The sequence below is a fragment of the Homo sapiens genome, chromosome 22 (genome assembly GCF_000001405.40).
Source record: "Homo sapiens chromosome 22, GRCh38.p14 Primary Assembly".
Lineage (NCBI taxonomy): Eukaryota > Metazoa > Chordata > Mammalia > Primates > Hominidae > Homo > Homo sapiens.
In genome coordinates, this window is record NC_000022.11 from 50615330 (window position 1) to 50628764 (window position 13435).

Here is a 13435-nt window from a genome sequence, read left to right on the forward strand (position 1 = left end):
GAGGACGAGGCGGGTGGATCACCAGGTCAGGAGATCGAGACCATCCTGGCTAACACGGTGAAACCCCGTCTCTACTAAAAATACAAAAACAAAATTCGCTGGGCATAGTGGTGGGCACCTGTGGTCCCGGCTACTCGGGAAGCTGAGGCAGGAGAGTGGCGTGAACCCGGGAGGCGGAGCTTGCAGTGAGTGGAGACCGCACCACTGCACTCCAGCCTGGGAGACAGAGTGAGACTCTGTCTAAAAGAAAAAAAAAAAAATTACGTTCCCTATAAAGAGTAACACATATCATAGACATTTTGGAGACTGCAGATGATAGAAGAAAGGCTAAAATCAACTGTATTTTTATGGCCCAGAGATAACTGTTTCTAATATTTTGGTGTATTTTTTCCAGTCTCCCTTCTACTTGAGGGTTGAAGGCAGAGGGAGGTTAGGGGAATCAAGAAGAATTTAAGGCAAAAGATAAAAGCAAAATAGCAGAGGTCGCTGCAGGCATACCTTGGAGATTTTGCAGGTTTGGTTCTAGACCACCACACTAAGATTGCAACAACGTGAGCCACACAAATTTTCTGTTTTCCAGCGTATATAAAAGTTATGTTGGCCAGGAATGGTGGCTCATGCCTGTAATCTCAGCACTTTGGGAGGCCAACGCAAGCAGATCGCTTGAGCCCAGGAGTTTAAGACTAGCAGGGACAACATAAAAAAACCCGGTCTGTATATATATTGTATACCTGTATATTTTATAGATATACACGTATGTAGTATATAGATATACATGTATATAATATATATAAATACATGCATATTTTATATATATATATATATATTAGCTGGGTGTGGTGGCATGTGCCTGTAGCCCCAGCTATTCAGGAAGCTGAGGTGAGAGAATTGCTTGAGCTTGGGAGGTTGAGGCTGCAGTGAGCTGTAATTACACCACTGCACTCCAGTGTGGATGACAGAGTGAGAACTTGTCTCAAAAAAAAAAAAAAAGTTATGTTTCCACTATACTGTAGTCTATTGAATGTGCAATAGCTTTTAAAGTATATACCTTAATTTGAAAATACCTTATTGAGCCTGGGCACGATGACTCACAACTGTAATCCCAGCGCTTTGGGAGGCCGAGGTGGGTGGATCACCTGAAGTCAGGAGTTTGAGACCAGCCTGGCCAACATGGTGAAACCCCATCTCTACTAAAAATACAAAAAAAAAAAAAAATAGCCAGATGTGGTGGCAGGCGCCTGTAATCCCAGCTACTTGGGAGGCTGAGGCAGGAGAATTGCTTGAACCCGGGAGACAGAGGTTGCAGTGAGCCGAGATTGCGCCATTGCACCCCAGCCTGGGCAAAAAGAGCAAAACTCCATCTCAAAAGAAATAAAATAAAATAGGGCCGGGCTTGGTGGCTCATGCCTGTGATCCCAGCACTTTGGGAAGCCAAGGCGGGGGGATCACGAGGTCAGGAGATTGAGACCATCCTGGCCAACATGATGAAGCTCCATCTGTACTAAAAATATAAAAAATTAGCCAGGCGTGGCCAGGCTCAGTGGCTCACACCTGTAATCCCAGCACTTTGGGAGGCTGAGGCAGGCGGATCATGAGGTCAGGAGATTGAGACCATCCTGGCCAACATGATGAAGCTCCATCTGTACTAAAAATATAAAAAATTAGCCAGGCGTGGCCAGGCTCAGTGGCTCACACCTGTAATCCCAGCACTTTGGGAGGCTGAGGCAGGCGGATCATGAGGTCAGGAGATCGAGACCATCCTGGCTAACACGGTCAAACCCCGTCTCTACTAAAAATACAAAAAATGAGCCGGGCCTGGTGGCGGGCACCTGTAGTCCCAGCTACTTGGGGAGCCGAGATCACGCCACTGCACTCCAGTCTGGGTGACAGAGCAAGACTCCGTCTTAAAAAAAAAAAAATTAGCCAGGCGTGGTGGCACGCACCTGTAGTCCCACCTACTCTGGAGGCTAAGGCAGGAGAATCGCTTGAACCCGGGAGGCGGAGGCTGCAGTGAGCCAAGATCATGCCACTGCACTCCAGCCTGGGCATCAGAGCGAGACTCTGTTTTGAAAAAAAAAGAAAACACCTTATTGCTAAAAAAATGCCAGTGATCATCTCCACCTTCAGTGAGTCATAATCTTTCTGCCGGTAGAAGGTACTGCGTCAGTGTTGATGGCTGTTGACTGATCGGGGTGGTCGTTGCTGAAGGTTGGAGCAGCTGTGGCAATTTATTAAGACAATGAAGTTTGCCACACTGACTCTTTCATGAAATATTTCTCTATAGCATGTGACACTGTTTGATAGCATTTTATTCATAGTAGAACTTCTTTCAAAATTGAAGTCAACCCTCTCAAACACTGCTGCTGCTTTATCAACTAAGTTTATGTAATATTCTTTTTTTTTTTTTTTAAGAGACAGGGTCTTGTTCTGTCACTTAGGCTGGAGTGCAGTGGTACAATAATGGCTCACTGCAGCCTCGATATCCTGGGTTCAAGTGATCCTCCCACCTTAGCCTCCCGGGTAGCCAGGACCTAAAGCAAGTGCCACGGTGCCTAGCCAACGTTTTTTTGGAGAGATGAGGTCTCACTATGTTGTCCAGGCAGGTCTCAAATTCCTGGTCTCAAGCGATCCTCCCACTTCAGCCTCCCAAAGTGTTGGGATTACAGGCCTGAGCTACTACACTCGGTCCTGTGCAATATTCTAATCCCTTGTTGTCATTTCAACAATGTCCGTAGCATCTTCACCAAGAGTAGATTCTATCTCAAGAAACCACTTTCAGCCAGGCACGGTGGCTCATGCCTGTAATCCCAGCAATTTGGGAGGCCAAGGCAGGAGAATCACTTGAGCCCAGGAGTTCAAGACCAGCCTGTGCAACATGGTGAGACCCCCATCTCTACCTAAATAAATAAATAAATAAATAAACAAGAAAATTTAAAAAAAACTTTCTTTGTCCATAAGAATCAATTCTTCATCTGTTCAAGTTTTATCGTGAGATGGCAGCAATTCAGTCACATCTTCAGGCCCACGTTTAACTCTAATTCTCTTGCTATTATGATACTTTCAACACATTTGCAGTTACTTCCTCCACTGGACTTGTCACCTCAAAGTCATCCATGAGAGTTGGAATCAACTTCTTTCAAGCCCTGTTAATGATGATGATATTTTGACCTCTTCCTGTGAATCATGAGTATTCTTTTTTTTTTTTTTTTTGAGACAGAGTCTCACTCGGTTGCCCAGACTGGGGTGCAGTGGCGCGATCTCGGCTCACTGCAAGCTCCGCCTCCCAGGTTCACGCCATTCTCCTGCCTCAGCCTCCCGAGTAGCTGGGACTACAGGTGCCCGCCACCGCGCCCAGCTGATTTTTTGTAATTTTAGTAGAGATGGGGTTTCACCGTGTTAGCCAGGATGGTCTCCATCTCCTGCCCTCGTGATCCACCCGCCTCGGCCTCCCCAAGTGCTGGGATTATAGGCGTGAGCCACCATGCCCAGCCTAGCATCTTTCTTAAGGGCCCTGGGATTTTCAGAATGGTAAATGAGCATTCAACTTAAAGCCACCAGCTGCATTAGCCCCTAACAAGAGAGTCAGACTGTCCTTTGAAGCTTTAAAACCAGGCATTGACTTCTCTCTAGCTATGAAAGTCACAGATGGTGCCGAGTGCGGTGGCTCACACCTGTAATCCCAGCACTTTGAGAGGCCGAGGCAGGCAGATCACCTGAGGTCAGGAGTTCAAGTCCTGCCTGGCCAACATGGTGAAACCCCATCTCTACAAAAAATACAAAATTAGCCAGGCCTGGTGGCGCATGCCTGTAATCCTAGCTACTCAGGAGGCTGAGACAGGAGAATCACTTGAACCCGGGAGGCGGAGGTTGCAGTGAGCCGAGATTGCGCCACTGCACTCCAGCCTGGGCAACAAGAGCAAAACTCCGTCTCCAAAAAAAAAAAAAAAATTGCGTACACTGAAGATCTATTGTTTACTGTAGCCACCCTCATCACTTACCTTAGCTGGATCTTCTGGAGAGCTTGCTGCAGCTTCTCCATCAGCACTTGCTGCCCCACCTTGCACTTTTACATCATGGAGACAGCTTCTTTCCTTAAACCATATGAACCAACCTCTGCTACCTTCCAGCTTTTCTCCTGCAGCTTTCTCATCTCTCCCAGCTTTCACAGAATCAGAGGGAATTAGGGCCTTGCTCTGGATTAGACTTTGGGTTAAGGAAATGTTTTGGCTTGTTTGATCTTCTATGCAGACCACTTAAACTTTCTCCTTAAACAGCAATAAGGCTGCCACAGTTTCTTTCTTTGTTTTTCTTTTTTTCTTTTCTTTCTTTTTTTTTGAGACAGAGTCTTGCTCTGTCGCCCAGGCTGGAGTGCAGTGGCACAATCGTGGCTCACTGCAACCTCCGCCTCCAGGGTTCAAGTGACTCTCCTGTCTTAGCCTCCTGAGTACCTGGCATTACAGGCGCACACCACCACACTTGGCCAATTTTTTGTATTCCAGTAGAGACTGGGTTTCACCATGTTGCTGCATCCACAAGGAAGGCTCTCGGCCTTCACACAAAGGAGCCAAGGAGGCTGGAGGGGGCATAAATAAATGCACTCCCCCCTTCATTACTACTGACCCCCTGCACCAGGCTCAGGGCTGCAAAAGGGAGGGGACACATCAGACAGCTGAGAGGCAGTGTCCAGGGTGCAGCAGGGGGTGAGGTTAGAGTTGAATCAACGCCTGGGGCCAAAATACATAATTTGCATGAATGTGGAGAACAATGTGGTGTGTGCCCGCCCCCCAAACCCTAAACTGATAGCATTGGCTACCTGGGACTGAGATGAGCGGGCATTACTTGAGTTTCTCTAATGAATATGCATTACTTTCGTAATTAAAAATATTCAGAGGTGCCAGGCACAGTGGCTCACGCCTGTAATCGCAGCACTTTGGGAGGCCGAGGCAGGCGGATCACCTGAGGTCGGGAGTTTGAGATCAGCCTGACCAACATGGAGAAACCCCGTCTCCACTAAAAAATACAAAATTAGCCGGGTGTGGCGGCACATGCCTGTCATCCCAGCTGCTCGGGAGGCTGAGGCAGGAGAATCACTTGAACCTGGGAGGCGGAGGTTGCGGTGAGCTGAGATCGCGCCATTGCACTGCAGCCTGGGCAACAAGAGCGAAACTCCGTCTCAAAAAAAAAAAAAAAAAATTCAGAGGTGAATTTAAACATTGTTCCATTGAAACGTTCCCTGGGCTCCCCCTTCTGGTCACTTGGGGGACAGACGAGCACACAGCCAAGGAGGGGCCACAGGGAGGGGAGGGGAGTTTCCCTGCAGGAGCCCCCTCTTACCCTGTCGTTCACGCAATCACTTGGGCGCCGGATATCCCCTCTTCCTTCCTAACGCACCTGAGGGGAAACCACAGAATCAACTTGTTTGTTTGTTCTGTCCATTTCAAAACACTCTTAGCCCCTTCGAGAGGACACTGAGCTCCCTGAGGAAGCTGCTCTGTGGGAATGGATGGCTGCCAGCCTGGTGAATAGATTATCTTAGGCTCACAGGAAAGGGGCTGTTTTGTAAATCAACAGTAACAGTGTGTATGTCACTGCAAATATGCACGTATATGCATGCTTGTGTGCACGGGTGAGTCCTTGTGTGTTCACGTGCGCACGTCCCCGGGGGGCACGTATCCCCGGATGCATGTGTATGTGCCTCCGTGCACGTGAATGTGAGTGTGCATGCGTGCGTATTTCTGTATGCATACACATGTGCACATACGCATACGTGTACATGCCTGTGTGAGGAGGGTGCATCCGGCTCAAACAGCTAACTGGTGAAAAGCATTTCTGAACACAAACAAATCAGAGCAAAACCAAAAGCGGAATGGGGGAGTGGAAAAATCCTTGGGTGCAGAGTGCATTTGAACACCCTCCTCAGAGCTCATTTATCTTTCCACCCCCACCTCTTGGTTATGTTCTTGTAAGACCAGGTACCCTTCGTTTGTAGCGTTTATTATGGTTAGATTGTTACTGAAATAGAAAATACGCAATGACGTCATAAAGTGTGCACAGCTTGCGAGTGTGGGTTGATCGCTTTATACATATGCATGCATCATGTTATGACCCCTTAAGATTTGGAAGATTTGTAGCACCCACAGGTTCTCTGGTGTCCCTGGTCAGGCAACTCCACACACCCCACCCTACCAGAGGCAGTGACTTCAATCACACTGAAAATTTCAGGTGCATCTGACATCCCGGGATTAAGCTCATCTCCTTTGCTAGACTGTAAGCCCGGTGAGTGCAGAGTGGGTCTCCTCTGACAACCCCATGCCCAGCACTGCACGGTGCTGATGCATAAACACGGGTGGGATTAACTCAGTTATGCACACTACCCAAGTGAGAGGAAGTGGAGCAGCAGAGCTGGAGGAGGTGCCTGAAGACTGTGGTTGGGTGTTAGTATTCATTTAGTTCTTGCTAGAGGGTTTGGTCTTTCGTGTGATACTGGAATCATGCCTCCAGTTCAGTTCCTCTCTGCCCTCATCTTGAACCACAGCGCTGTTTGAAATGCTTGTTCCTCGGTGCCGTAAAGAAACAGCACTTGAACATAAATTTAATTTTCTTTTATACTTTCTGCAGAAAGGGTACACTCGCCAGCAGTTTTGCCGTGAGAGTACACCGAACAAAAGGGGACAGGGTCATTTGTAACCTGATGCGTCCACCTTACTGCCGTGTCCGGTTTCCATCGGCTGGAACGGGACCTCACGTTCTGTATTTGTCCCGATTGGCTAGCAACTTAGCACTTTTTAAAAGAGGAAAAGAGAGAGGAGAACAAAGGAAGGAGGAAGTAACTTGTGGAATGATGAGAAAGGTAAAAACACCTTCAAATAAGGAAGAGGAACAGGCTGTGACGTAATGCTTGCTTGGGCCAGTTTAAGCATGCCAGGGCAGATATTTAGGCTAAATTGTGGGAGCTAAGAACATAAAGGACATTGAGTTCTTTATTCGGCTAGCAGTTATTTAAGAATGTTAGTACAGGTCTTTGAATAAATTTTGCTTTTAAGAGAAGTTACTATTTACTCCTAGATGGGGAGGAAAGTCTGAAGAGGAACCTCTGCTTCACTTTCTACAGCGCCACCTGGGGCCAGCACCTCCACTCGGACCACAAGTGCACAAGGGCCCCCCTTATGCCAGCATCAGGGGCTGCTGGGCACCCCAAGGAAACCACCACCTTATGGGGGTGATTCCAAACACAGCAGGATTTGGGGTGTGGTCAATGCAGCCCTCAAACCAGATGAAAAGGGATGAAACGGTTGCGTGGAGAGTCCTCAGCACACTGTCTGACACCACAGGCTCACGCAGGCACATGTGCCCGCCACACAACCATTCATAGGCCACATTCCAGCAAGGCTTTTGGCTGCAAATAACAGAACCCTCACTAGCAGTGGCTTCAACAGGCAGGGTTTATTTTCTTACGCTTGGAGCTCTCCAGGTAGGCAGCTGGAGACACTGGGTTAGCAGCTGCCCAGTGTCCAATCAGGGCCTGTGACGGCTGCGCAAGGTCCTCACCCCCAGGGCTGCCCCAGTCGTTCACTACCAGGACTCCTGGTCACAGGCTACTCCTGAACCAATCACTGGATTGACTGGCTCAGGCTGGTCACCGCCCTCCTTGGAGAGAAAGAGGCTGCAACTCCAAGATCAAGGGACCTTTGCCCAGCACTGAAAAATGGGAGCCCATTAGGAAGGAGGTGGCTGTTTGGTAGCAACGAACGGTGTCTGCCACGGGGAGGTGTCTGAACGCCCGGAAGGTGTGCTCCTCTCACTTGGCCAACACTGAGGGAGCACCTGGCGTGTGACTGGCCACCTGGGCATGCACGTGGGCCTGACGTCAGTGTGCCATGCTGCACAGACACGGGCAGGTGCTCAGACAGTCCCTCCCTGCAGAGGAGGCCAACAATGGAGGCAGAGCGTTGCCGTTGAAGGGAACAGCCAGGCCACCCCCTAAGACTGGGGGGAAGGGGGTGTGGGTGGAGGCCTCAAGGGCAAACTGGGTCACTGTAAGGGGTTTGGATTTTCTTCTGAGAAGCCTGCGAAATTTTGAGCAGGAATAGATGCTCAAGCCCAGCCTGATGTTTTATTTGTTTATTTGCAGACAGGGTCTCACTCTGTCCCCGAGGCTGGAGTGCAGTGGTACAATTATAGCTCACTACAGCCTCGACCTAGTGGGCTGAAGTGATTCTCCCACCTCAACCTCCCAAATTGCTAGGACAAATGCTACCACGCCTGGCTAATTAAAACAAATATTGTTGGCCAGGTGTGGTGGTTCACACCTGTAATCCCAGCACTTTGGGAGGCTGAGGCGGGTGGATCACCTGAGGTCAGGAGTTTGAGACCAGCCTGGCCAACATGGTGAAATCTTGTCTCTATTAAATAAAAAAAAATTAGCTGGGCATGGCAGCACACACCTGTAGTTCCAGCTACTAGGGAGGCTGAGGCAGGAGAATCCCTGGAACCCGGGAGGCGGAGGTTGCAGTGAGCGGAGATGGTACCACTGCACTCTAGCCTGGGCGACAGAGCGAGACTCCGTCTCAAAAAAAAAAAAAAAAAAAAAAAAAAAAAAAAAAAAAAAACAAAAACAAATCTTTAGAGCTGGGGTCTCACTATGTTGCCCAGGCTGGTCTGAATTCCTGGCCTCAGGCATCCTCTCACCTCAGCCTCCCAAAGCACTGGGAATACAGGAGTGAATCGCCGTGTGCAGCCTAACAGATTTTTTGTTTTTTGAGACAGAGTTTTTCTCTTGTTGCCCAGGCTGGAGTGCAATGGTGCGATCTCGGCTCACTGCAACCACCGCCTCCCAGGTTCAAGTGATTCTCCAGCCTCAGACTCCCAAGTAGCTGGGATTACAGGGATGCACCACTACACCTGGCTAATTTTGTATTTTTAGTAGAGATGGGGTTTCTCCATGTTGGTCAGGCTGGTCTCGAACTCCCGACCTCAGGTGATCCACCCGCCTCGGCTTCCTAAAGTGCTGGGATTACAGGCGTGAGCCACCGTGCCCAGCCAACAGATATTTTTAAGAGATCACTTTGTCTGCTGGGTGGAGAATCGTTAGTAGTGGGTCAAAAGGTGAAGGCAGGAGACAGAAGTGTGGGCACAGGTGAAATGCAGAGGCCTGGGAGGGTGGAGGGGCCCCAGAGGAGCCGTCTCAGGGCCTGCTGCTGTGCCTTCCTAGGAGCCAGCAGGGGCTCCAGGCCCCTTAGCCCCACCTGGAGTGTGCAACTCATCACCCAGCTTCAGACAGGTTTCTTATAAGAACCAAGGAGGTCCAGTGCCTGTGTCTCTAAGAATGCTTCTTCTGGGGGAATATCCCGTCTCTCTCAGGCACTTTGCATCTTCTGAGTCTTCTGGCCCTCACACCCTCCCACCCTCCCACCCCGTTCCTGGCACTCAAAGGCACGTGGCGCTGCTCCTGTGAACAGATGTGCCCATGTCCTTGAGGCTGACGTGTGCCTGTGTGCACTGACCCACGCAGATCACCAAGGCGCCAGGGCAGCTTCCAGAGCCACGACACCAGGGTTCAAATCCCAGCCCAACCTCTTTCTGGCTGGGTGATCTTGTACAAGTCCTGAACCTCTCTGCACCTCAGTTTCCTCATTCGTACCACAGGGGACCGGCACCAGCACACAGCATTACCCCAGGATTGGACGAATTGTCACATCTGCAAGTCTCCACTGGTGTTATTACGTTATCAGGCACAAACCCCCTCCAGACACCTGAGCCTCCCCCACAGGCTCCCAGTGAGGAGCCATCACATGCCCAGGCCAGCCGAGGGGCCCTCAGGCATGGGGATCTGGGCAATGGCAGCAAGCTGGGCGGGGGGTGCAGCCAGGATGACAGCAGATCTGCAGGGCGGGGTCCTCGCCCCGGGCCACCTGGCTGGGGCCGAAGGTCACAGCTGCGTCTAACTGGGCCTTGAGCAGCTGAAGCTGTTTCAGGGCTTGCAGCACCTCTGGGGTGGCCCCGGCCACACCCCCCAGCAGGTTGTAGTTCTCACCAGGGTCCTTGGACAGGTCATAGAGCAGCGGGGGCTCATGAGCAGTCAGAGAGCTGGAGGCGTGGCAGGCAGGGTCTGCAGTGGTATCACTGTGGGCAGAGCCTGGGGAGGGGGCCAATTCTGTGCACAGGGCAAGGGCGAGAGGAGGGGCCAGGGATCTAGGGCTCCGGGGAGGGGTCAGCAGGTCGGGGGGAGGGATCCACGGGGAGGGGTTACCCTGGGTGAAGAAGTGAGCCTTGTACTTTCCAGTCCGCACAGCAAAAACCCCACGGACCTCGTCTGGGTAGGACGGGTAGAAGAAGAGAGACTGCCGAGGGCTCTGGGGGCAGAGTCAGGGGTCACGGGGCGGGGCAGGCCCCAAGCACTGCACATACCTGGGGCTGCCAGCCCTGGTGGGAGGCCCTGGACGTGCACCGCTTCTTGCCCACCCAGGAACCTGAGAGGTGGCGCCACTTGGATGCCACTCAGTGCAGGAGGCACTGAGGCACAGACTCTCAGGCACTGCCCACACTCACCCCAGGGGAAGGCCAGGACAGGGGCCAAGGATCTGGGATCAGGGGTCACCGGCCCTACCTTGCCTGTGCCCAGCAGCAGGGGGCTGAGGTCAAAGCCATCCAAGGTGACATTGGGCAGTGGGGCCCCAGCCAGGGCTGCCAGGGTAGGCAGCAGGTCCAGGGAGCTGGCCAGCTCGTGGGTCACGCCTGGGGGCAGGAGGCTGGTCAGTCACTCAGTTCGCCATCAAGGTTGGGGTGGTGGGGCCAGGGTTCCAAGGAGAGGGCCTGCGGACTGACCGGGAGCGATATGACCTGGCCAGAAGGCCAAGGCAGGCTCTCGGACACCGCCCTCGTAGGTCGTTCCCTTTCCACACCGCAAGAGACCGGAGCAGCCGCCTCGGGACATACGCATGGTCTCAGGTCTGGGACACAGGAGGCGCTCATGAGCCATGGAGCCACAGCCTCTGAGCCACCGAGGGTGACCAGTGGCCCCACACCTCTAAGTCACAAAGCTTGCCCGGAGGTGCCCAGCATGAGCCCGGCACCTCCCAGGCCTACCAAGACCAGCTCTCTGTGCACTGTGTCTCCTGACTACACCTTGGGCCCCTGCAACGTGGCCAGCATCTCCTGGCACCCCCTCACCCACTATGTTCTTGGCAAGCAGCTGAACTGCAAGGCCTCCAGGGCCCTGGCCCGTGACAGGGCCGGAGCACCCAGCTGCCCTGCTGGCATACCCATTGTCTGCAGTGAAGATGACCAGCGTCTCTTCAAGCAGCCCCAGGTCCCCTATGGCTGTCATCAGGGTCCCCACAGCTGCATCCAGCTCCATCAGGGAGTCCCCAAATGGCCCGCGGCCTGAACGCTCTGCAAAGCTCTGCCCACTGAACTGAGGGTAGTGGGTGTGCTGGGGGCAAAGACTGGAGTTAGCACTGGGTAGGGGTCACGGGCAGCCAGGGGGTTGGGCCAAGATCACTTACGTGAGAGGCATAGTACAGGAAGAAGGGGCGATCCTGGCGCTGGGCGTCGGCCATGAGGTCATGGGCGAAAGCCATGTAGCGGGCCTCTAGTCCGGGCAGCCAGGGGGGCTGCGCCTCCACGGACAGGTTGGCCAACAGTGGGATGGGGACCAGGCCCTGGTCACAGCCACCGTCGCAAGGAGTGGCCGGCGGGAAGCAGGTCAGGTTCTGGCAGGGGCCCTGAGGCGGGCAGCTGCCGTGAGGGCTGGGCTGGCAGGTGGGGCTGCGGGAGCATCAAGGGCTGGGGGACTTTGGGAGGTGGGAGGGTGGCTGAGGGCCCGGGTGGTTCCTACCTGGTCGTGGGAGTACGGGATGCCTAGAAATCGATGGAAGCCCTGATGGGGGGGCAGGAAGGCCCCCTCAGGCCCCACCCCAAGGTGCCACTTGCCGGCCATTCCTGTGAGGTAGCCTCGGGCAGCCAGGACTTCGGCCACGGTCACCTCCTCCAGGGGCAGGCCCCCCCGGGAGCTGGGCACCAGGACGCCAGGGTACATGCCCATCCGAACCGGGAGCCGGCCGGTCAGGAGGGCGGCCCTGCGGGACAAGTCACAGAGTCCCTGAGACAGACAGAAATGTGGCCTTCCCTAGAGAGAGAGACAGACGTTTTTCCCGCCCCCCTGCAATCCATTGGGAGGAAAGGGATGGAGGGTCGGGGCGGGGAAGAGGCGCGGCCCCCTCTTTACCTAGAGGGTGTGCACAGAGACACAGGCACGTAGAAGTCTGTGAACCGCAGCCCTCCCGCCGCCAGCTGGTCCAGGTTGGGAGTGGTAGAGCTGGGGTGCCCATAGCAGCCCAGGTCCCCATAGCCGAGGTCGTCGGCAAAGATCAGCACGATGTTGGGCGGACGGGCAACGGCCAGGCCAGCAGCCAGGGCCAGGAGGAGGGACCGCGGTGCCCCCATGGACATGGGACCGAGGGGTCTGTCCCAAGAGAGGGAGGGCTACTTGGCTCCAGCAGGCTCTTTCCGATACCGCAGACCCAGGCGCCGCCCTTCCCTGAGACCCCGGACCCAAATACTCCCCGACCCTGACGGCCGCCTCCTGAAGCTCCAGAGGGCCGGGGCCCGACAGTACCGGGAGACCGCGGGCTGGGACGGAACTCCTCCAGGACCAGGGCACCTTCAGATTCTCGAGCGGAGATCTGATCCTCCTCGCCTAGCGGTCCGGGCTCAGGGTCGGGGGCGTAAGTCACTTGGCGCTGACCAGCGGAGTCGGGCCGGGGGGAAGGCGCTAGAGGGAGCCCAGGAGGAGCCGGTACCGGGCTGCGGGCGCTTCCGCCTCGGCCCCGCCCCGTGACCTGTGACCCTTGCGGGGCGGGGCCGGGGGCGGGGCCGGGGGCGGGGCCGGGGGCGGGCCGGGGCGAGGGGCGTTGCTGCGCGTGCTCGCTCCGAGGCCGCCGTGTGCGCCTGAGGCTGTTGGCTGCGGTCTTGAAACGGGCTCTGGGAGCTTCCTCTGCGCGGTCGGCCCTGGCTGAGGCGTCCCGGGCTGCGCGCGGGGCTCGGCGCTGCGCAGTGTCCGGTGTCCTCTCGGTCCGGAGCTTCTCCAGAGGAGGAGCGGCTCGTGCGCCCCCAGACCTCCGGTACTGGGAGACTCGGGCCCTCCTGTAAGAGACCTGAGCGCGGAGCGTTATGGGCACCCGGTGAATGAGCAAATGGCAGGGAAAACCGTGCAGCCCCATGGACTGCGGGCTCTTCCTTCACGACTAGCAAAAGCTTTGACACCCTTTCTCCTGCGTACGCGTGTCTGTGTGCGTGTAAGCTGTGGCTGGGTGCGGGGGGCTGTGTACGTGTCTGTGTGTGGTGTGTGTGGAGTGTTTGAGGCAGGTGTGTGGTGTTTCAGGTGTGTGTGCATGTGTGGTGTTTGAGGTGTGTGTGTGTGTTTTTGTAGTGTTTG

General features: G+C 54.1%; 1 protein-coding gene across 9 annotated transcripts, besides 5 other annotated features; it reads right to left on the reverse strand.

The window, feature by feature from the left end:
- Positions 5132-5426: an enhancer, noted in NCBI's record as "tiled region #5053; HepG2 Activating DNase unmatched - State 4:PromP, and K562 Activating DNase matched - State 8:EnhW". NCBI's record gives its function as "activates a minimal TATA promoter and a strong SV40 promoter by Sharpr-MPRA in HepG2 and K562 cells {active_cell/tissue: HepG2 | K562}" and the evidence as "EXISTENCE:reporter gene assay evidence [ECO:0000049][PMID:27701403]".
- Positions 5136-5364: a silencer, noted in NCBI's record as "fragment chr22:51058893-51059121 (GRCh37/hg19 assembly coordinates)". NCBI's record gives its function as "represses an EF-1alpha promoter that drives an FKBP-Casp9 reporter gene in an ReSE screen in K562 erythroleukemia cells {active_cell/tissue: K562}" and the evidence as "EXISTENCE:reporter gene assay evidence [ECO:0000049][PMID:32094911]".
- Positions 7030-7149: an enhancer, noted in NCBI's record as "active region_19332". NCBI's record gives its function as "activates an Ori minimal core promoter by ATAC-STARR-seq in GM12878 lymphoblastoid cells {active_cell/tissue: GM12878}" and the evidence as "EXISTENCE:reporter gene assay evidence [ECO:0000049][PMID:35858748]".
- ARSA (arylsulfatase A) lies at positions 7425-12823 on the reverse strand. 9 transcript variants are annotated; one of them, NM_001085427.3, is made up of 9 exons: positions 12662-12823; positions 12227-12463; positions 11837-12077; positions 11505-11723; positions 11262-11431; positions 10825-10949; positions 10607-10734; positions 10250-10352; positions 7425-10135 (listed from the first exon to the last, which is right to left on the reverse strand). In NM_001085427.3, exons 2-9 carry the CDS (start codon positions 12448-12450, stop codon positions 9816-9818), a joined length of 1530 nt encoding a protein of 509 aa, NP_001078896.2. In that variant the 5' UTR covers positions 12451-12463; positions 12662-12823; the 3' UTR covers positions 7425-9815. The 9 variants fall into 9 exon arrangements, with proteins under 9 accessions (NP_001078896.2, NP_001078895.2, NP_001078894.2 ...); NM_001085426.3 differs by having other exon boundaries at positions 12617-12823; NM_001085425.3 differs by having other exon boundaries at positions 12569-12823.
- Positions 11001-11783: an enhancer, noted in NCBI's record as "H3K27ac-H3K4me1 hESC enhancer chr22:51064758-51065540 (GRCh37/hg19 assembly coordinates)". NCBI's record gives its function as "activates a minimal SCP1, AML or CMV promoter by ChIP-STARR-seq in naive H9 embryonic stem cells {active_cell/tissue: H9 hESC(naive)}" and the evidence as "EXISTENCE:reporter gene assay evidence [ECO:0000049][PMID:30033119]".
- Positions 12718-12907: a silencer, noted in NCBI's record as "silent region_14004". NCBI's record gives its function as "represses an Ori minimal core promoter by ATAC-STARR-seq in GM12878 lymphoblastoid cells {active_cell/tissue: GM12878}" and the evidence as "EXISTENCE:reporter gene assay evidence [ECO:0000049][PMID:35858748]".

Bases quoted from the DNA above. Each gene is read 5' to 3' on its own strand.
- ARSA (NM_001085427.3), bottom strand. From the start codon at position 12,450: ATGTCCATGGGGGCACCGCGGTCCCTCCTCCTGGCCCTGGCTGCTGGC. The intron at 11,724-11,836 runs GTAGGAACCACC...TGCCCGCCTCAG, and splicing joins TCCCGTACTCCCACGACCAG to GGCCCCTGCCAGAACCTGAC. The intron at 10,950-11,261 runs GTATGCCAGCAG...CCTGTGTCCCAG, and splicing joins ATCTTCACTGCAGACAATGG to ACCTGAGACCATGCGTATGT.